At 42.2% G+C, this 22,764-nt stretch overlaps 1 protein-coding gene across 2 annotated transcripts in view, besides 4 other annotated features; it reads left to right on the top strand.

The window, feature by feature from the left end:
- The window catches only part of TMCC3 (transmembrane and coiled-coil domain family 3), an 83,436-nt gene that overhangs the window by 31,494 nt on the left and 29,178 nt on the right, over window positions 1–22,764 (top strand). The window contains exon 1 of one of the 2 annotated variants that reach the window (NM_001301036.2): window positions 3,063–3,141. The exons of the other annotated variant lie outside the window; for it this stretch is intronic. The gene's annotated coding sequence lies outside the window, so the exon portion shown is untranslated. Of the gene's footprint in view, window positions 1–3,062; window positions 3,142–22,764 lie in introns of those variants that run through there. 2 annotated transcript variants of the gene reach the window in all.
- Window positions 1,826–2,325: an enhancer, noted in NCBI's record as "H3K4me1 hESC enhancer chr12:95010515-95011014 (GRCh37/hg19 assembly coordinates)". NCBI's record gives its function as "activates a minimal SCP1, AML or CMV promoter by ChIP-STARR-seq in naive H9 embryonic stem cells {active_cell/tissue: H9 hESC(naive)}" and the evidence as "EXISTENCE:reporter gene assay evidence [ECO:0000049][PMID:30033119]".
- Window positions 4,400–4,989: an enhancer, noted in NCBI's record as "NANOG-H3K27ac-H3K4me1 hESC enhancer chr12:95007851-95008440 (GRCh37/hg19 assembly coordinates)". NCBI's record gives its function as "activates a minimal SCP1, AML or CMV promoter by ChIP-STARR-seq in naive H9 embryonic stem cells {active_cell/tissue: H9 hESC(naive)}" and the evidence as "EXISTENCE:reporter gene assay evidence [ECO:0000049][PMID:30033119]".
- Window positions 4,400–5,148: a biological region, named in NCBI's record as "NANOG-H3K27ac-H3K4me1 hESC enhancer GRCh37_chr12:95007851-95008440".
- Window positions 4,918–5,148: a silencer, noted in NCBI's record as "fragment chr12:95007692-95007922 (GRCh37/hg19 assembly coordinates)". NCBI's record gives its function as "represses an EF-1alpha promoter that drives an FKBP-Casp9 reporter gene in an ReSE screen in K562 erythroleukemia cells {active_cell/tissue: K562}" and the evidence as "EXISTENCE:reporter gene assay evidence [ECO:0000049][PMID:32094911]".

Genomic DNA, 22,764 nt, shown 5'->3' with positions numbered 1-22,764 from the left:
CCCTGAGACTCTGCACCTCTCGTCAGTGTCTGAGGAATAACTCAAGTAGACCACGGGCTGGGTGCCATGGGGAAGTTGCCACCTCAATGGCAGATTCCATCTAATGTGGCCATCTGTCTGCTTTCATTTTTCCCCCTATTGGCAGTGGGGTAGGAGAGCATCTTGTAGACACGACAAAAAGTTGAGTCTATTCACAGCTGGGAAGTTCAAGTCTATTCAAGGCAGAGAAGAACTGGAAGGTATCTTGGTTCTATATGTCAGTGGGGTGTCAAAATCTTAGAGGTTGGCTAAGAAGGATGGAGATGTGTATTGTGTGTTTAATGGGAACCACCCAGAGTTCAGAAACATCCTAGAGAATCAAGAACCTCAGGTTCAGACTACATATGTGAGCGAGGAGGAACTTGTTCTTCCTCGGCCCTTGGGGACCAAAGTGTCCTCTCAAACTGGTCATGCTTGAGGCATGTCACATGTGCCCAGGTTGAAGACAGCCAGGAATAAGAGTAGTCCTAAAGACCATTAGCTCTGAATTGGATCATTGTCTACGTTTAATCCAAATGATTAAATGAGCCAAACAGTGAGCTTTGAGGCAGTTGCCACATCATTCTGTATTAGAAACTTGGGCAGGTTTTTAAAAAAGATATTTGTGACTGAGACACAGAATGTGAGGTAGGTATACTGAACTGGGCTATGGGTGAATGGATGGGAATATATGAAGCTACCAGGGAAGAAGGGGGAAGGAAGAAGTGATCCTGAATGTATTTTAGGAGCTAAGCTGGAGATGAAACAAAATATCTAGTGACCAAGATATTTTCAGACTAGGAAGGCAGCCGTAAAAATAGGTAAAGACAAGTTAGATCCCAAATTTAAAGGCAAACGCTGAAGAAAAATGAACAAGCTTAGCTCTGTGGAACTGAATTATGTATGCCTTACTGGTCAGTCTGGTTTTAAAAATCTTATTGTAGTTTTAAAATATTCATTTTAAGAGTTAGAATTAGCAAAATGACCTAGCAAAGAAAGTATATACGTCTCATATACGGAGTGTACTATTGACTTAACATTTGGTTTAAGGCAAGATCCATTTGCTGGAATTCATTATTTAACATGACTTAAGACCTTTACTTGAACTGAGCCAGAGGATAGAGGCTATGCAATATTAACTTTGATAGACACTCTTCCTCTTAAATATTACAGTAGAGTTTTCACAGAGTAGGCTTTGACTAGCCTTTATTAGGCTGACAAAATTCTCCCTCTTTTCCAAACCCCACTGCCCTTTTCTCTCCATCCCACCCCCAACACAGAGTTAAATCAACACCACTTAAGCCACATAGCAATTTTGAGATCTTTGCATTTGTTATTTAATGTCAAAAGCAGGAAACCCCTGGTCCCCCAGAACAGTCTGGCCTTAGTTTTTCATATGACTTGTGGCAATTCAAATATTTGAGAATCTGTGCCTACAAATATGGTCAAAAGGGATTTAAAGATGAGTGACAGCAAGAAAACTTATAATCTGCTGCAAAGGTTAAGTACTCAATTATAATACAAAGCAGTATATGATCACAAAAGGGCAAGAGGAAAATATTAAATCTCTTCTGTTTGCCATGACATCATGTCCTTTTCTGATTTCATTAAATCCCAAAAGGAATTTCCTTAGGTGAGACCAGAGTCCCAAAAAGGTTAATTTACTTGCCCCAGGTCGTATAGCTGCTAAGAGGCAGAAGCTGGGATTTGATTAGGTCTGGTTGTCTATGCTTGTCTCCTCAGAGAGTTGCCTAAGGCGCTGTCACCAATGGGCTCCAGTGCTGTTTCCTCTGTCCCTTTCTCTCTCTGTTCATCAGGACGTCTGTGTTTGAAGGTCCCATAGGAACCTTAAGTTTATCATGTCTGAGGCTGAAAATTCCTCTTGCCTATCTTGTGAATAAGCTTAGCTACCAGAAGGAATGAAACAGAAGTGGGGTTTTCCTTGACTCGTCCCTTCACCCCCACATCCAGGTGGTGGCAAGTCCTCTCATTCCACCTCCTTCATAGACCTCTCACGACCACCCTACATCCAGCCTTCACCAGCTCTTGCCATAGATTGCTGCAGCAGGCTCCAGGCTCCAGTTGGCTCCATGGAAATGCATTTTCCATCTTGCTTTCTCAGAAGGACTTGTTTAAAACAGGATGTGATCATCCTAATCCTCTATGCGGCTGCCAAGGGACCTACAGGATGAACCCCAAACACCTCTGTATGAGTTAAGTGGGACCCTCCGGGTGTGACCCATCTGCTGTCCCAGTCTTCAACTGCACCAAGTCCTCCAAATCTTTACTTCTCTGTCTAACTGATTCACCTTCTGACAAGCCTTTCTGCTTTCCATTGACTTTTTCCCCTCCCCCTTTCCTCTTATCTCCCCCTTAGCAGCTCCTTCCAAGTGCTCGCTTAGCACCAAGTACTCTCCTGACACTTATCAGTGGCTGTCATTGTGTCTCTCCCCCGGCCACTACGCCAGGAGGCGGCTATGCCCCTTTGCCTCCCCAGCACGCCTCGCTGCGCCTGACACTAGGAGGCACCCAGCAAGTGTCTGTCTCATGAATGAATCAACAGAGAGTCTCCTGACTGCTCACTGTCTTTAAGCCACTTCCCTTCCCTTGGTGCTGGCTGGCCCCTTTGCTCTGCCTTCATCACATTGGTGTTTACTGTGCCCAGTCCACTGCTGGCATTTGCTCTGCCTAACAAGGTTTGTTGAGCCGAGCCCATTTCCTTATTGGTAAAGAGAGAGTACCAGACTGAATGTCCTCTTGCAATCCCAGAGTCGGGGTGATTGATAGCAGGCGCCCTTCTAGTCGACCTCCCTGCAAAGATATAGAATGTGGATCTCTTCTGCTGACTGCACAAAGAGCCCATTTGTACAGCAATGTGTTGAATACGGTGCATTATTACTGACATTTGTATTGGGTACAGTGCAGGGCGTGGAGTTTCTCTGAGACAAACACAGGAATACCCCGAGATAATGTGAGCAGTATCTCCAAAGTCCAGGCTGAGTCATATGGTAGGTGCTGTTTGGAATATCTAGCCTGCCTGCCTTGCAGATTCAAATGCCTCGGGCAGGAGGGTGAGCTAGCTGCCGATCCTGCTCTGCTCCTGGGTTTGCTGTGTGGCCCTTGGTAAGTCTCTTCACAACTCTTCCGTTTCAGCCAGAGTGTGTAAATATGTATTGTGGAGCTTTGTGGTCTTTAATATCCTGGGAGATGCCAGAAAGAAATGCAATTTGTCTTTGTGCTCTTAATAGTTATCTTTGTGCTTGCCCAAATCCCTCCCTAATTTCTCAGTTGGTTTCTAGATACTTAAACTGCCTAAACGCCTAATGAACCACCAGTCTCCTTATTGTTATGTCCTTTTAAAAATGTCAGTCCAGTGTGAGTGATTTAACAGATGGACAAATATCTGGGTTGGATTGTGCCAGCTACTGGCTGGAGAAGAGCCAGGTCTCCTCCCACCTCCCTGGGAGTTCGAAAGTAACCCCGGGTCTAACCAGGCTCTGAGTTGGAATCTAACTTTGTACTTTAATATCTAGTCTTTCGACAAGTGGGCATCTTTGAGTCATCCTGCCTTTGCCTGGAAACTTGAAACTCTGTAAAACTGACTTTGTGTGATGCTGCCCAGCCCACGTTGGGGAAGAAGGGTGTGGTGGCTGCCTCGAGCTGTGGGAGAGGAAGCAGCCATGGGGGAAATGGAGAGTGCGTCTGAACTGGGCCTCCTCGGACCATGCTTGGACACCCCATAGTGTGGGATTCATTCCCCATAGGGTGGTGAAGGCTCAGGTTCATGTGATTTCTGCCTGGGGGAGCCTTTGATCTCACAGGAAATCTGTGTTCACTTGTGGCTCTTTGTCATAGAAGACTTCTCTATATTGACACAAAATGCAATCTTTCTTTCCTTCCCTGAACATTAAAATATTTGCACACATTTATTAATTCAGGTGGTTTTGTCCTAATCAGTTCTGTAGCAAAGGTTTGCCCATTGTTGATAGTGATCCCCAGTCTTCAGAAACCAAAACACCTGGGGGTGGGAGAGGAGGGAAAGTTGGAAAAGTTTGCTGCTTGTCATTTGATCATTTGGGTCTTGGAGGTTACATTTCTGTTGTTTAAAATACAAAAATTAGCTGGGAGTGGTAGCAGCGTCTGTAATCCCAGCTACTCGGGAGGCTGAGGTAGAATTACTTGAACCCAGAAGGTGGAGGTTGCAGTGAGCTGAGATCGCGCCACTGCACACGAGCCTGGGTGACAGAGTGAGACTCTGTCTCAAACCAAAAAAAAAAAAAAAAATCTGTCTGTTGTTTAAAAAAAGAAAAAAGTCAGAGAGGCCAGTTGTTCCGACAGCATATCATGCAATAGCCTCGTAACACTGTGAGTGCAACAGTTGACAGAGCTTGATGCACACAGTTTCAATTGGAATAAAAGGGAAAATGGCTCCCCAAACTGCAAGAGTGCTGCTTGTAAAACAGTCAGAGCTGCTTTCTGTGCCAGGCTGTTCAAAAAGATGTGGGAACAGGGCTTGTCCTGGTTGACAGGCCATTCTGGAGAAACCCTGACAATGCTGGCCACCCCTCTGCTGTCCTTCCCACCTGTTCCTTTCTAGTCAGTTTATGGAGAGGAGGTTGTTTTTGCTTCCAGGGGGATTACTTGTGGCCTGGGGGCAATTACAGGGCTTTCTCCTGACTGCATGCTTCACATTCCTGTGTGTAACCAGTGAGGATAATGATCCAAGAAGATCATTGCAGTGGTGACCCGAGGACCTTTGAGACCAGGTCACAATTTAAGTAGGGTCTCAAATTTAGATTTTAACATTATTACCCAACGAGTTAAGTATAGAGCCAGAGATAAAGCAATAGGATTGACAGAAGACATTCATTCTACAGCTTAAGCAAACACACACACACATTTTATTTTACTGTGTAATTTACTCCATAGTTTTTTTTTTTTTTTTTTTCTGGAGATGGAGTCTCACTCTGTCGCCCAGGCTGGAGTGCAGTGGTGCAACCTCGGCTCACTACAAGCTCCGCCTCCCAGGTTCACGCCATTCTCCTGCCTCAGCCTCCCGAGTAGCTGGGACCACAGGCACCCACCACCATGCCCGGCTAATTTTTTTGTATTTTTAGTAGAGATGGGGTTTCACCGTGTCAGCCAGGATGGTCTCGATCTCCTGACCTTGTGATCCGCCCATCTCGGCCTCTTGAAGTGCTAGGATTACAGGTATGAGCCACTGCGTCCGGCCTACTCCATAGTTTTTATTTTAAAATGTTTGTAAACTAATATCATACAAAGAAGATATTCCATTAAAAAATACATGAAACACCCCTGTACGTTATACCCAGGGTGAGGAGATGAACTTGACCCTGTGACCTTCCCTGATTGAGCATCCCTACATCACAAGCCTTCCCACCCCCAAGAGGTCATCGCTGCCATAAGGTTTAACTATTCTCAAGATTTTTCTCTTTTTATCACATGTGTGTTCATACCTAAAAAAGAGTTTGCCTGCGTTTGACCTTTATAAAGTAGAATTCATAAAGTATGTGTTCTTTGATTTGCTTCTTTTAAGATTTAATCATTTTATTCTTTTTGAGACGGGGTCTCGCTCTGTCACCCAGGCTGGAGTGCAGTGGCGTGATCTTGGCTCACTGCAGCTTCAACCTCCCAGGCTCATCCTCTTGCCTCAGCTTTCCAAATAGCTGCAACTACAGACGTGTGTGCCACCATGCCTGGCTAATTATTATTATTATTATTATTGGTAGAGACAGCATTTCATCATGTTACCCATGTTGATCTCGAACTCTGGGCTTATGTGATCCACCAGCCTCGGCCTCCCAAAGTGCTGGGATTACAGGTGGGAGCCATTGTGCCTGGCCCATTTTAATTCTTGTAGTTCTGGTTTATTTCATTCCACTGTACAAATAAACACAATGTGTGTGTGTGTGTGTGTGTGTATCCATTTTATTGTGTGTATATATATATATATCTCCAATGTGCGTGTATATATATCTCTCCATTTTATTGCCCATAGGCTTTGGATTATTTGTGGGTTGTCTTTTGTTATTGCTTTTATTGTTTTTCTTTTGCAAGTGATGCTGCTGTGTATATTTTCAATGTGCTCCTAACAGGGGCACTTGCTCCTCTAACCTACAAATGGAATTTCTGGGTCTCTAGGGGATGCACATGCTCAAATGCCAAACAGTTTTTAATGTTTTAAGAATCAGTTAAAATCAAACACTGCAAATATACCTTGCAGTCTGCTTTTAGCATTGCTTCATTTTAAAATGAATCCTAGAACCACTGAAAAAATTTTAAAAGTGCAAGTAATTCTGTCTTGCTTTGTCTTCTGAGAAACTGACTTTAACCTTAAGGAGATAACATTATTCCTTTTTTGTAGTTGTAGCTGTAGAAACAATTTTTGAAGGACAAAACCAAACTTTAAAACTTGAGGCCAGGTGCGGTGGCTCACGCCTGTAATCCCAGCACTTTGGGGGCCGAGGCGGGTGGATCACAAGGTCAAGAGATCGTGACCAGCCTGGCCAACATGGTGAAACCTCGTCTCTACCAAAAATACAAAAAATTAGCCGAGTGTAGTGGCGGGCACCTGTAGTCTCAGCTACTCGGGAGGCTGAGGCAGGAGAATCACTTGGACTCGGGAGGCGGAGATTGCAGTGAGCCGAGATCGCACCACTGCACTCCAGCCTGGTGACAGAGCGAGACTCCATCTCAAAAAAAATAAATAAAATAAACTTGAGAACCATTTGGGCACGCTGGCTCATGCCTGTAATCCCAGCTTTAGGAGGCCAAGGCAGGCGGATTGCTTGAAACCCAGGAGTTCGAGACCAGCCTGGTCAACATGGTGAAACCTCGTCTCTACAAAAAAATACAAAAATTAGCCGAGCATGATGGTGTGCACCTGTAGTCCCAGATACTCAGGAGGCTGAAGTAGGGGGATCAGTTGAGCCCAGGAGATCAAGGCTGCAGTGAGCTGTGATTGCACCACTGCACTCCAGTCTGGTTGATAGAGCAAGACACTGTCTCAAAAAACAAACAAAAACACCAAACCTGAGAATCACAGGTAAAACAGTCTAGCCTCAGGAATCACATGAACTATATGTAAACAGTCTCTAGATGAACTCTGTGACCCTTCAGTTGCCATGAATGGATATACAGTTGGCCCTCCACATCCACGGATTTCACATTCATGGATTCAACCAACCAGGGGTCAAAAATATTTAGGAAGAAAAATTGCATCTGTACTGAACAGGTACCGAGTGTTTTTTTTTTTGTCATTATTCCCTAAAAAATACAACTATTTACAAGCATTTACATTGTATTAGGTATTATAAGTAATCTGGAGATGATTTAAAGTATACAGGAGGATGTATGTAGATTATATGCAAATACTACACCATTTTATATCAGGGACTTGAACACTCGCAGATTTTGGTATCTGCAGGAGGTCCTAGAACCAATCCCCCATGGATTCCAAGGGACAACTGTATATATACGCCTATCATACACTGCCATGGTCTGCTTGTATGAGTATTCTCAGTGAAGAGTCTTTATGGAAAACATCATTGCCCATGAAATACAGATTCAAAGCTGTGAGCCTTGGGCAACCCAGTTCTCAGTAGAAATATTTCAGTGGCATTGGTCCCTTAAAAAGACAGCATTTTATGAAGTTATTTAAGAAAGATGTAACATTAGTATTCAATATTTTAATGGGACTTTTACTTGAAAACTTATATTTATGACTTGGCAATTCCAGCTTAGTCCCATAAAATTTGTTTTAGAACTACCTTTTAAGCCATGGTTTTATTTCCTTGGGAAATGGGATTTAAAATTTCTCTTTTCAGTAGGGAGTTACTTTTCTAAAAGTAATTACATAAACAAAATTCAGTTAGGATGAGTTACAAAAATGCCTACTATCCTATAGATTATTTATTTTGCTACTGTTAGTAAAATCATAGGTCACTGGAGGAGACAAGGAAGTATCTTAAGTGTGCTAATGAAATTTTGCAGGTATTTGCATATTAGTCTCACTTTGAAATTCAGGCACTGGGGATTTTTTTTTAATATGAAAATAAGATGAATTACTCTCTCAAAAAGATAATATAAAACAAAAAGTATCTGTGTCTGCAGATTCCCAGTCCTATTCCCCAGAGGTAACTACCATCCACAGTTCTTAAGACAGCTTCTAGAAATGTTCATACACATAGAGTATACAATTGTACATATCTATCATAAATCCCTCCACCCCTCGTTTAAGCACAGATGAGCGTGCACAGTAGGCATAGCCCTGCGTCTTGCTTTTCTCTCTTAACAGTTTAGATTGAATAGCTTCCCATGGTAGCCCATTCAGATCCGTTTCCATTTTAGTGGCTGCATCATTTCCCATTGTACTAGAATTTTAAAAAGAGGTTCTCTATTGATGGATGTCTATGCTGTTTGCAGAATTGGCAGCAGATGGGGTGGTTGGTGGTGGTGGTGGTGGTAGGGGTGGCAGACTATCATTTTTTTAGAAGCAGCATAGAAGAATCAGAGAAAGAGGCAGAAGACTTGTAAATATTTTCATCTCCATTTCTGTTCTTTATATCTCTTGAAAAAAAAATTTTTTTTTTTTTTGCCTGCCTTAAGGTGTTTTCAGAACTATATGGAAGCCCAAAAGGGCTAGATGGTTTTTTCTTCCTAGCCCTTCTTTCCTTGTGGTGATCATGATGGTGAAGGAGATTATGATATGTAACCAAAACACTGGGGAAAAGGAATGTATTTACACTTGGTGGCTAAAGAAGGTTCCGATTCCCTTTCTTCTACCTCCAGTGCAAATACACTCTATGGTAACTGGATTATTTGTTTGTAACCTGATTAGCAAGGCTTTCTAATGATAATCTATTTGGATGGGGGAGTTTTCCTTATACAGAGTAGGTCGTTGCATAATATCCATTCGAGGTGGTGTTTGCAAACCCTGTGGAGTGCCTTTCCAAACACTCTTTTCCTTCCCTTTCTCCCTGGCTGGCAGAGCCTGTTCCTGGAGTGGAGGCCGAAAATGTTATCTGCTGCCTCCCCAGCCTCCCTTGCAACTAGGGCATGGACATGGGACTCAGCCCCGGCCAAAGGGACCCCTGAGGAGCTTCTGGAAAATGTTTTCCTTCCTAATAAAATATGAAAGAAGATAAGTATCCTCATCTATAGCCAGAAACTGTCTACACGTGATTTCTGGAACTACAGTAGCTCTCTTGCCTCCATGTGAGCAGAAGCAAATGGCCCGAGGATAGTGTAGTGAAAAAATGGAGAGCGATTGGGTCTTTGATATCTGTAAGCCGTTGAATTAGCCCTGCCCTCTGTTCTTAGTTTAGGAGACCATAGATGTGCCCTTATTATTGAAACTGATTTTATTCAGTTACTGAAGTTATCTTACCTGATACATAATTTTACCCATAGAAAATAATATGAAAATAGCAAAATCACTCAGGTAAGATAGTTGAGTGCCTGCTGTGTTCAAGAGACTGTTAATATGAGGCTCTGGGGCTGCAAAAAATCAAGTTGCTAAGAATATGAGGTCAGAGCAGCAGAAGTTCTGAGTAACCACTGATTACTGGACTTGGGGTGATCAGAAGTGACTGTGTGGGAGAGGTGAAATTGAGCAGACTCTGAAGGAACCTCTGGGTTTTGGTAAATAGGGAGCTGGGGATGAGGATGCCCCAGGTTTTAGAAAGAACACAGGCTGTTGAATCACACCTGGGTTCAAACCCTGGCTTGCTACTCCCTAGTTTGTGACCTTGTCAAATTCCTTGATTTCTTTTTTCTTTTTCTTTTTTTAATTTTGGAGACAACAGTCTCACTCTGTCACCCAGGCTGGTGTGTAGTGGTGTGATCATAGCTCACTGCAACCTCGAACTCCTGGGCTCAAGGGATCTTCCTGCCTGAGCCTTCTGTGTAGCTGAGACTACAGGTGCATGCCACCACACCCAGCTAATTTTTAAATTTTTTGTAGAGACTGGAGGGCATCAGGGGTCGTCTTGCTTAGTTGTCCAGGCTGGTCTCGAACTCCTGGGCTCAAGCCAGAGTGCTGGGATTACAGGTATGGGCCACAGCGCCTGGCCCAAATTCCTTGATATGTTTGATACACTAAACATAACTAGTATAATGAGGTGAGAACTAGAAATAAAATGTGTCAAACATCTGTCATGCTGATGTGCACATACAGGCGCAGAGTAGATGGTGGAGGTGGAAGGCACAGTAACGTCTACATACATGTGGCACTCCTGAATAAAGGGTGAAGTGAGTTAGGTAAAATGACCTTGGCATGCTCTGCTTGAGCTGGACAGAGTTCACCTGGATCCAACTATGTGGTCCAGCTAAGAGGCTGAGAGTACAGGATCTGGACAGAGACAGGTTTGAGTCAAGATAATGAGGACTTTGGCTTCCGGCTTCAGGAGTTTAAACCTCATCCTGTAGCCAGTCTACGGTGGTGACCACTGAGAGGATCAACCTGGAGAGAGAGGAGTTAGATTGCTGCATGGTCCAGGTGTGCAGTGTAACAGACCTAGACCAGGCAGGTGTCAGGTGTTGGAGGGAGCAAAAAGGTCTGATGTTAGAGTATGTGGGAGGCAAGGGAGAGGGGAGATTGAGTGATGAGTCCCAAAGACTGAATAGCTGTCAGTTATGGAGTGTGAAATTCAGAACAGATGTGTAAGACTTTCAGATCATCATATCCTAGGTGGGAACAAGAACAGTTGGAAAGATTTATTGACATTTTTAATGAAAGATGCTATATAAGTGGAAAATAAATGATGTTACCCAAATCTGTTTGTCTTTTAATTCTTGTCTAATTACGCTTGTCACTTTACCTCTGTTTATATATAAAGTTTGATTCCTTTGAAGGATGTGTCCCTTAATAAACATACCCTTGCCTCTGATTAGATATTATTGAACTCTTTGAGTCAATCCTATAATATGAAGTATATATTCACTGATTGTTCACTACATGTTTATCCAGGAAGAAAAGCAATCAAGCAAAGTGTTTCTCTGACACAGAGATTGTGGTACTTATGGTATATTTACAATGGCCTTATTAAAACATCAGTCATAACATTGAAAGCAATGAATGACATCAGAGTCATTAAAGTATAGAAATCAAATAAATTTTAGTTCATCAAGTTCAGGGTGATATCCTGAGTTGAATGAGAGACTTCATAATGTTCTCAGTTCATGAACAGATGGTCCCCTAACATTTCGAAATGCTGATTAAGGTAGGTGGACTGAGTCAGATTAATCAAGGGTACCACATTGTAAATACTGTTATGTAGTTAGCAATCCTTGGCATCTAATTAAGTTCACCTTCTTTCAGGCTGGGCACGGTGGCTCATGCCTGTAATCCCAGCACTTTGGGAGGCTGAGGTGGGAAGATCACTTGAGGTCAGCAGTTCAAGACCAGCCTGGCCAACATGGTGAAACCCCATCTGTTGCGGGAAGTCAGGGACCCCGAATGGAGAGACCGCCTGGAACCATGGGCAGAACATAAATTGTGAAGATTTCATGGACATTTATAAGTTCCCAAAATTAATACTTTTATAATTTCTTATGCCTGTCTTTACTGCAATCTCTGAACATAAATTGTGAGGGTTTCATGGACATTTATCACTTCTGTAATAATACTCTTGTAATTTCTTATGCCTGTCTTTAATCTCTTAATCCCGTTATCTTCATAAGCTGAGAATGTATGTCACCTCAGGACCACTATTGTACAATAGATTGTAAAACGTGTGTTTGAACAATATGAAATCAGTGCACCTTGACAAAGAACAGAATAACAGTGATTTTCAGGGAATAAGGGAAGATAACCATAAGTTCTGACTGCCTGCGGGGTCAGGCAGAATAGAGCCATAGTTTTCTTCTTGCAGAGAGCCTATAAATGGATGTGCAAGTAAGAGGGTATCGCTGAATTATTTTCCCAGCAAGGAATACCGTGCGGAAGGAATGCATTCCTGGGGGGAGGTCTGTAAACGGCCACTCTGGGAGTGTCTGTCTTATGCAATTTAGATAAGGACTGAAATACACCTTGGTCTCCTGCAGTACCCTCAGGCTTACTAGGATTGGGAAATTCCAGCCTGGTAAATTTTGGTCAGACCAATTCTCTGCTCTCACCTGTTTCCTGTTAAGATGTTTATCAAGACAGTACGTGCACAGCAGGACATAGACCCTCATCAGTAATTCTAATTTTGCCTTTGTCTTGTGATCTTTATTGCCCTTTGAAGCATGTGATCTTTGTGACCTACGCCCTGTTCGTACACCCCCTCCCCTTTTAAAATCCCTAATAAAAACTTGCTGGTTTTGCAGCTCGGGGTCATCACGGTCCTACCAATATGTGATGTCACCCCCAGAGGCCCAGCTGTAAAATTCCTCTCTTTGTACTCTTTCTCTTTATTTCTCAGACCGGCTGACACTTAGGGAAAATAGAACCTACTTTGAAATATTGGGGCTGGTTCCCCCGATACCCATCTCTACTAAAAATACAAAAATTAGCCAGGCATGGTGGTGTACACCTGTAGTCCCACATACTCAGGAGGCTGAGACAGGAGAATCACTTGAACCTGGGAGGCAGAGGTTACAGTGAGCTGAGATCACCCCACTGCACTCCAGCCTGGGTGACAGAGCGAGATTGTCTCAAAAAAAAAAAAAAAAGAATAAGAAAAAAGTTCACCTCCTTTCCCAAGGCAAAAAGAAGCCCCATGGTTCTTAGGGAACTTGGCATGAGTAAAGCCTCTTGGGCATTTTACCCTTTGAGCATAAAATTCATGTTTCCAAATGATACTTCTGCACACAGGCAGTAGTTCCATAATAGGCTAAGAGCAGGTGTCCCTGAGTGAGAGTTCTCACAGTCTTGTTGCATTGTTAAAGGCTCTAGGTCAGGTACAGACCCATGGTTTGGTTGATTGCAATTCCCAGTAAAGAGAAAAAAAGCGTCTAGCATTGACGCTTTCAAGACTGCCTTCTATCCACCCCCCTACACACATACTTGTTTTTTTGTTTGTTTGTTTGTTTTCTGTTACTAATCTCATTTGGATTTTTTTTTTCCACATATAATTTTAGTCATAGTTAGTACCTGGTTTGACGGAGTAGATTGGTGTAACCGTGGTACTTTCCTGCATTCAGGAGAATCTGGGATGTCTTCCGTAAGTATGGCTTAGAGTGAGGGGAATGTGATTTGCCGTGTACATTGAGGGATTTCTCTTTTCAGTCCATAAATAAAAGACAGAAGGCATTGCACTCTTCAGGAAAGTCATCTTTAAGTCCTGCCATTTTGTTCATCGTAGGTGAAAACTTTGCTCTTCTTTATCTAGCCCCCGATGGAAAGTACCAAGGCTGTGATAATAATTGGAGTTTGAATAGTATTGAGCCTGTAGAAGAGAGATGAGTGGAGATGGAATAAATTATGAATTGTGTATTTATGAGGCAAAATGCCTGATTTTCCATATGTGATGGACAGTGTTCTTTTAGGTAAGAACTCAGCTATCCTTAGCTTCAAATGATGCTTAAAAAAAGGAAAAGTCCAAATTACATGATCCCAGCATCCCAGATAGACGCTTACTTAATGTTGGTATGCAACAAGTGTATACGCATGTCATGACCAATTACACAGATTCATGAATGAACCATTCTTATGTGACCTGAACTAAATCCAAAATCCCTCTGTGTAGTATAGTCACAGTGCTGTATTTTTAAAAAATTAATAAGAACCTAAACAGTATCTGTATTTAAGATAAGCCTCCTTTTCTTTTTGATATTCCAAATTCTCTATGTCTCCGTATTTTATTTTCATGATTATAAAAACACCACCTGCTTTAAAATTCCTGGCTTCCCCTTGTCTGCATGGTCAGGTGTCTAGCCTAGCATGGTTTGCAGAGCCTGTTGCAGGTTGTCGGTGTTCTTCTGAGCCTTGTGCCGCCTCCCTTTAGGAATGCTTGCCATGCACCTCTTTTTCACCCCAGCCCTCAATCATGCCTTGATTTAGAATGACCCATTTAGCCATTCTCAATTTTAGACACTCCAACTTTTAGTTTCCTAAATACATATTCTAGTTTTTCCTTCTGCAGATACAATGTGCTCCTTGCTAGGCTCTCAGCAGATTTTTGAGCTGCCTCTAAGTCAATTATCACCTTCTCAGAAGCTTCTCATTGAAGCCCCCTGCTTATTTCCTCCCCTTGGTTCCTATAGTACTTATTACTTCTTTTTTTTTTTTTTTTTTTTTGAGATGAAGTCTCACTCTGTCACTTAGGCTGAAGTGCAATGGCACAATCATGGCCCACTGCAGACTTGACCTCTTAGGCTCAAGAAATCCTCCCACCTCAGCCTCTCAAGTAGCTGGGACCACAGACACTACCACACGCAGCATTTTTTTTTTTTTTTTTTGGTAGAGATGGGGTCTCACTATTGTGCCCTAGCTGGTCTCAAACTGCTGGGTTCAAGTAATCCTCCTGCCTCGGTCCCCAGAGTGCTGGGATTACAGGAGTGAGCCACTGTGCCTGGCCTTGTTACATTTTTTAATTCTGTACGCCTCCCTGCCCCAAGAGTGACCTCTTAGGGCAGAGCTTATCATATTTCTCTGACTCCAGTTCTTTCAGCACAGGACTTAGTTCACAAAAGATGCCCAGAAAAACATTTTCAAGTAGCAATTCTGTATTTTAGGGGGCTTGGTTTGCAACCTAAATTAATCAGTTCCATTAGCTATCATAAAAACAATTTGGTCTAAGTAAGCAAGCCCTAATTGTACTTTGTGTGCTTTTAGTTAAATTCAGCCTCATTGAGAAACATTGGCTTTCTAAATGACTATTATGTAATAAAACAAGGCATTAGCAATCTGGATCAACATGGTATTAGGATTTTGCTGCATTTTGCAGAATTCTAAATTGCATATTTTTATGTCTAAATCTGATGTATTCAGTTAAACCACAGATATTAATGCCTTGCTAGTAGTACACGTGTGGATTTCTGCTCTTTTTCATTGGCTCTTTAGTATTCTAAAAACAAATATTTATGAGACAGTGTCATGAAAGTTTGGGAAACTTTAAAAATGTTAAAGAGCTGACAAAATGCATTACAGGTTGACATGCTAATGAAATTTAAGTGGTTTTTTTTCTTGCTAGAATTGAGCAATACTGTATGTTAACATTTATTCATTGTGCATTTGTAATGTTACAGGTACTATAAAGATAATAGTTTTGACAGCTCCTGCATTTTTGTTATCTAAGTTTTTTTGCATCTTATTACTTTTTTGAGGTTTCACTTACAGTAAAGTGTATACATCTTAAATGTACAGTTGGATAATTTTTACCTATGTGTATGTCCTGAGTGACTGCCACCTGGATCAATGTTGTTAGCACCCCAGTGCTCCCTGGTGCCACCTACTGGTGAATCATTCTCCGTACCCCTACTTCCCCGCAAAGGGTAACCACTCTTCTCACCTCCGCAGCACGCTAATCATACACCATCACATTTTTGTGTGTGGCTTCTTTCATTAAGTATTACACACGTGAGATTTGTCTGGGTTGTGTGTTGAACAATTTTTCATTCCTTTTGTTGCATATGGTTTTTAACGACTTGTTGCTTATTAAATTTTATTTTGGTAAATAAGATTCATTATAAAGGGATGGCTCATGCCCATAATACCAGCATTTTGGGAGACCAAGGCAGGCAGATCACATGAGGCCAGGAGTTCAAGACCACCCTGGCCAAGATGGCAAAACCCCGTCTGTACTAAAATACAAGATGGCAAAACCCCATCTCTACTAAAAATAAAAAAATTAGCCAGGCGTGGTGGTGCACGTCTGTAATCCCAGGTACTCGGGAAGCTGAGGCATGAGAATTGTTTGAGCCTGGGAGGCAGAGGTTGCGGTGAACCGAGATTGCGCCACTGCACTCCAGCCTGGGTGACAGAGCAAGACTCTGTCTCAAAAAAATAAAAAATAAGATTCATTATAAAGAGTAATACTCAGTTTGTGTCAGTTGGTCTGTGCTAATAATTTTATGAACAAGGCTATTGGCATTTTGCGTGCAGGATGCCAGCCTTACAGACCTAATAGTAACAGAACTGCTGCATATGAGAGCTGCAAGGCCCTTAGAGTTTGCAGAGTTCAGCCACCTTGCTTCTTTACGAGGACCTAAGGTTAATTGGATCCCAGGTCCCCCGAGTGATCTAGTTCAGTTGTCTTCTTGAGGTCACTGTTGCTGTGTCACAATTCAAACTTGATTATGTGGATGTCCATAGTCAACAGGAAAACAATCTTGGAAATTTAGAAATCCACCTGGGCATGATGGTGCACTCCTGTAGCCTCGGTTACTTGGGATGCTGAGGAAGATCACTGGAGCCCCGGAGTTGGAAGCCAGCCTGGGCAACAGAGCAAGACCTTGTCTCTAAAAGAAATTAAAAGAAAGAAGAAAATCTAGAAATCTCTAATTAGCAAGACTTGGAGTTTCAGTTATCTACAAGTTTCATTCACTCATCTAGAATACTTCCCTTAGTGTCAATTAAATGAGATGTTACTGACCGTTCATGGAACTTCGTCTTTTATTAAAACCTATTCTTAAAGGAAAAGGAAGGGGAAAATGTAACCAGTGCACATGTTTGCTATGGTACTTTCAGCTTTAGCGCACTGTCTTAAACTTTTGATGTTCCTAGATTTAGTTATTTTAAAGCCCTGTGAAAACCACAAGGATTGTTCTCAGTATGCGAGGTCTTAGGGTAAGTTCTGAGTCTGTGATCTCTGCAACTAAAAAACCAATCCCTAATCTTATACCTTTCTGCTAAGGTCGTAATGATTCACAGAAGTTTTGTAGAAAGGATTTTGAAGGAGAGATTAGTAGACTCAGCAATGGAACATTAAATCCTTTATAGGCCAGGAAGTAACCACAGAACGTTCTTCAGAATGTTAGAGCCTTCCTTAAGTATGATTAACAAACACAGGGACAAGTGGCTTGTCTTTTTTCTAATTATAACACACTGTTTTTCAAACAGGATTATGGTCATGAAATAAATTTGATGAGTAACAACTATCACTTTATATTCTTATATGGAAAAGCAGAAGGAACATCACAGCAAATACTCATCTACCTTACCCAGATTCAACAATTTAAAATGTTCTTATTTTCTTTGTTTGTGTTTGTAACCTGTTAAAAGTAAGTGATATACAGACACCAGGTCCCTTTCTTTTTTCTTCTCTTTTTTTTTTTTTTTTTTTTTTTTTTTTGAGACCAGGTCTCACTCTGTCACCCAGGCTGGAGTGCAGTGGCATAATCTTGGTTCACTGCAACCTCTGCCTCCCGGGTTCAAGCAATTCTCCTGTCTCAACCTCCCCAATTAGCTGGCATTACAGGTGTGCACCACCATGCTCAGCCAATTTTTTAGTAGAGATAGGGTTGGCCAGGCTGGTCTCAAACTCCTGACCTCATGTGATCCACCCACCTCGCCCCCCCACAATGTTGGGATTACAGGAATGAGTCACTGCGCCCAGCCTTCTTTTTTGTTTTTTGAGACACAGCCTCACTCTGTTGCCCAGGCTGGAGTGTAGTGAGTGTAATGGCATGATCTCGGGTCACTGCAATCTCCGCCTCCCAGGTTCAAGTGATTCTCATGCCTCAGCAATCCCCTGAGTAGCTGGGATTACAGGCATCTACCATCATGCCCAGCTAATTTTTGTATTTTTGGTAGAGATGGGCTTTCACCATGTTGGCCAGCCTGGTCTCGAAAGCCTGGCCTCAAGTGATCTGCCCGCCTCAGCCTCCCAAAGTGTTGGGATTACAGTCATGAGCCACCGCGCCCGGCCAGGGCACTTTGTTTCTAATATGTATCTGCAAACAAGGACTTTTTCTACATAATAAAATTAACAAAGGTAATTATAATTTCTAATATCCAGTTGTCCAGAAAATTAGGTAGCTGTAAATACAGTTACATTGTGTGTAGTAAAGATAAGTAGTATTTTACAAAACTTTTGTTTTAATTAGGTGTGTGCATGTATATGTGCACATACATAAGTATGTATATATTGGTAAACATGTATTTCTTTCTTGGATGTCTCATTCAGAATTTGTAATATACTGGGTTATGACATAGAGAAATTGGGTTCGTATATAGGTATTTGCTGCTCAGTGATACTGCGCGTTCTGTGCTGAGTGTTGTATGGTACCTGAGAAAGTGAATGCTTTCAGTAACTAGTAAAAAACCCAGCAAAGATGATAAAACAAAGAGGAACCCACCTAACAGTATATATAAGAGCCAAAATGGATCAGGAAGGAGAAGAAGTCCTTTGGAAAGGCCTCATGGAAGAGATCTTGAAGGAATGGTAGGATTTGGATATGACAGAGGCCTTGAGATGCTGTGTCCGGAAGGGAATGGTGTAAGTGTTGAGGTGAAACAGAAAGTCCAGAAATATGTTCATGTACCACAGTGCTGAGATCCACTTGGTGGATGGTGAAGGAAGGAGGAAGACATTGGAAGTTGAATAGGAAAAATTACTCAGGGCTTAAGTACCAGCAAGGGGAGGAATCCAATCTCTTTATTAAAGGAAGAATCGTTGAACATCTTAAGCAGTGTTTTAGTGTGATGGAAGTGGGAGTTTAGAAGATCAGTGTAATGACTTCCTATAGACTAGATGGAAGGAATAGAACACTGAAAACAAGGAAACCCAGTTAAACTGTTGCCCTTGCTATAGGTGAGATAGGAAATGAGGATGTGGATTAAGATAGATGGCCCTGAGGATAGCAAGGAAGGGTCAATCTGGAGAGAAACCACCAAGCCAAAAAAAAAAAAAAAAAAAAACCAGAATTTGGTGACAGTTTTAAAGAAGAGATGAAGGAGAGAGAACATCAATAAAATAATTATGCTGTTTACCCCTAAGGTCATGGAATTAAGTATAACCCAGTCCCCAAACCCCCAACATAATATCTGTAAAAACAAGCTTCCAAGCATAATTCATATTCATTCATTTTCTCTCTCTCCCTCTCTCTCTCTTCCCCCACCACCACTCCTTTTTTTAGAGATGGGGTCTTGCTGTGTTACCCAGGCTGGCCTCCAACTCTTGGGCTCAAACGATCCTCCTGGCTCAGCTTCCTGCGTAGCTGGGGCTACAGGCACATGCCACTGTGCCTGGTCATGCCATAATACTCTCAAAAAGTAGGCTAAGGAGGTTTTATAGAGGAAGTAGCAAGTTATAATCATTAGATATGTCTTTCTAATACGATTTTCTCTTGTTTTGCTTAAAGACTTGGAGGTGGAAAACGTTAGACATCTGTCTTTAGGGTCTTACTTCAGAGTCCTAGTTTTACTGAAAATAGCAATATAGAAAACTCATGACAATTATAAAAGCATTAAGAGCTGGCTGTTGAGAATGTAAAGTTTAGTTATTTTACATAAAGTACCTTTATACAAGTCAAATTAAATACTAGGTAAGACTCTGTAAAGCAGTATCTTAGGCTTGTGTGTGTGTGTGGGCGGGGGGGGGGGTATCTTTTAAAAATTATCTTTCCTGTTCAGGTTCATTGAAACTTGATTCTTAAGGGACCTTCTGGTATGAATTTGAGACCCTGTTCTCCACTTTCCACCCTCCTTTCTGCTGCAAGATGCATAGATAAGCAGCAGTTTGTGTACACACAAATACTCCGTGCATGTGGGGGCGGCGGGGACAATGATTGGCTTCTGTTGAAAGAGCTTAATGATGGTGACAGCAGCATCACTGTTCTTGGCTCTGGAGTCTTCTGAAGAACCCACCTATCTGGGGTATGTTAGGTTTAATAAACCATGGCCAACACTTATAGCACTTACTCTGTACAAGACCCTATCATGAATTCCTGTAATCCTCACAGTCACACTGTGAACTAGTAGATACTGCTGTCCTCATTTTACAGATGAGAAAATCAAAGCATAGAGAAAGTAACTTGCCCAAGACGAGGCAATTCACATGGCAGTGCTGAACCTAGGCAGTCTGGCTCTGAAATCTGTGCCTTTAACCACTAACTTATGCTACCACCCTGGAAGCAAACCTTTATTTAGGATACATGGCTCTGGAATCAGAGCTTTCCCATGAGGTCTGAGCTACCTGGTTGCTGCGAGTGTTTTGAGTGGGTCCTGGAAGTCTGTTGCCTGTGTTTTGGAGATACAGCCAACCCAAATACAGACTTAGGTTCTAAGAAGGGTCATGATACAGTGTTTATCTTTAAAATCACAGCCCACCATTTGTTTTATTTCTTTGTCGTTTCTTTTATCCCAGATCACAAAACAGTATGATCTTAGAGGAGGACTGTTCTCTGCCTGAAACACGAATCTTTGGAGCCTTTAAACGTCTGTGGCTGTGGGAGAAGAAAGCCTCCTCTTATTGACGGCAGAGCATTTAATGACTGTAGAACCTGCTGGAGCTTTAGCCAAAGAGGGAGTTTATGTATAAGCTGGCCTTGAGGATCTTTGGTAGTGGGTAAAACAGAAGTAACCCACATTTTTTTATTATGCAAGGTATCTTGGGATTTAAGGTCATTTCTTCTCCTACTTATGAATGCCAAAATTGAGAACTTATGAATGCCAAATTGAGAACATCTCCAGTAATTGCCTCGTGGCACCAAGGAGTCTGAAGGAGTCTGTTTTTGTTCTTCTGTTTCTCTATCATACATATTTTTCACATTTGCATATTTAATGGTAGCACAATGATTTGAGTAAACTAAGTAGATTTGAGGGGCTTTAGGGGTTAAAGGAAACAGGTATATGTATGATAAATGGTTTGGCGTACACAGAAAGAGCTCAAGAAAAGGTAGGATATTCCTGGAGCCAGGTGCACTTGGGCTGGAATCACATGGCTCTGCCACTTATTAGCTTTGAGTCCTAGTAAGTCACTTTTCTGAGAAGATGGGAGTTTTAATTCTAATATCAGATTCTTGAAAGGAAAAATAAAATAAGGTACCGGAAACATTTAGGAAATTATTTGATGCTGATAAGTCTTTAGTAACTGGTGGCTTCTCTTTTCTGATAAACTTGAATGATCCTGGCAAGATTCTGTCCTCTCTTGAGCCATTCTTCTTGAGGCCTGCTTGTGTCCTTTAAACAAGTCGTTGCCTTCTTGGACTTTGGAGGGTAAAAGAATTCCTTCATTTCTGTGTTCATGTTCTATCAAATTGTGATTTCCTAAGTGACAAGAAACTACATTTCAGAACCTTCCTGGTGCATTAGAGAAATTATTTTATTTTTATTATTTATTTATTTATTTTTTGAGACAGAGCCTCTCTCTGTTGTCCAGGCTGGAGTGCAATGGCGCGATCTTGGCTCACTGCAACCTCCGCCTCCCAGGTTCAAGCGATTCTCCTGCCTCAGCCCCACTGAGTAGCTGGGATTATAGACATGCACCACCATTCCTGGCTAGTTTTTGTATTTTTAGTAGAGATGGAGTTTTGCCATATTGGACCAGGCTGGTCTCGAACTCCTGACCTCAGGTGATCCACCTGCCTCAGCCTCCCAGAGTGCTGGGATTACAGGCGTGAGCTGCTGCACCTGGCCTGAGAAATTATTTAAGACTGCTTCCTTAAGCCATCACAAATAATGGATTGAGTCAGAACATATGGGTGTGTCCAAAGGAGGAGGCACCTGAGTTGTCTGCCACAATTACAACGGTCCCTACAGGGAAAAGGTCCCTTAGGGAGGAAAGGATCATACCTGCATATTCTGTACGTGGGAGATCTTAATTTTTTTTTCTTTTTCTTTCTTAGAGACAGAGTCTGGCTTTGTCGCCCAGGCTGGAGTGCAAGGGAGCAATCATAGTTCACTGCAGCCTCAAACTCCTGGGTTCAATCAGTCCTCCCACCTCAGCCTCCTGAGTAGCTGCGACTACAGGCACGCCAGCAGGCCTGGCTAATTTATATACATATATATATATATATATATATATATATATATATGTATTTTAATAGAGACAGTGACTTACTGTGTTGCCCAGGCTGGTCTCAAACTCCTGGGCTCCAGTGATCCTCCTGCCTCTGCCTCCCAAAGTGCTGGGATTATAGGCATGAGCCACCATGGCTGGCAATATTTATCATTTGGTAATTGATTACCTATATTCTGCTTGGAGCAGTGAAGAGCCATGAAACATCAGTTTCCTATTTGACCTCTCACATGTGTCACAAGCCATGAACCATTCGTGGTTCGGTCTGTTTTGAAAGCAACCCAGCACAACCTCAGTTGCAGGTTCTTCTTGATCTCATTGCAAACAGCTGAGCAAATGTAAACAACTAGGGCAGCCACTTGTCCCTAAACAACTGGCTGCCCTAGTTGGCTGCTAGTCAACAACTGATTCACTTAATAAGCACTAAGGTCCTATTGAGGAAAGAGTGTGGAGCAGACACAGGTGGCCTAGTAGATGATAGATGATCCTTCTCTCCAAGGAGGCATCCAAATGTTGGAGGAACAAATGTGTTATTCAAATACCTGTCATACTTGGAAGAATAAGCACTGTATGAGGAGTCAGTGCAAATGGGGAGAAGCACAAAGGAAGCAGTCAATCCTAGCTGGGCGTGGGGGTGGGAGAACCTCTGTGGAAGAGACATCGTTTGACTTGGTCCTTGAAAGGTGAATTGGGAAGGAGACCATGCTAGGGTGAGGAACAGACATAGAAATAGCAAAGTGCATGCAGTGTTCAGGTGTGACTGGCTCGTCACACACATGGAATAAGATGAAGGTTAAAAACTAGACATTAGTACAAATCCTGGCTCTGTGTCTTCTTAGCT

The sequence above is a fragment of the Homo sapiens genome, chromosome 12, assembly GCF_000001405.40.
Source record: "Homo sapiens chromosome 12, GRCh38.p14 Primary Assembly".
NCBI classification, from domain to species: domain Eukaryota; kingdom Metazoa; phylum Chordata; class Mammalia; order Primates; family Hominidae; genus Homo; species Homo sapiens.
Note: the sequence above shows the minus strand (reverse complement) of the source record. Positions and strands in the feature narration are given on the sequence as shown.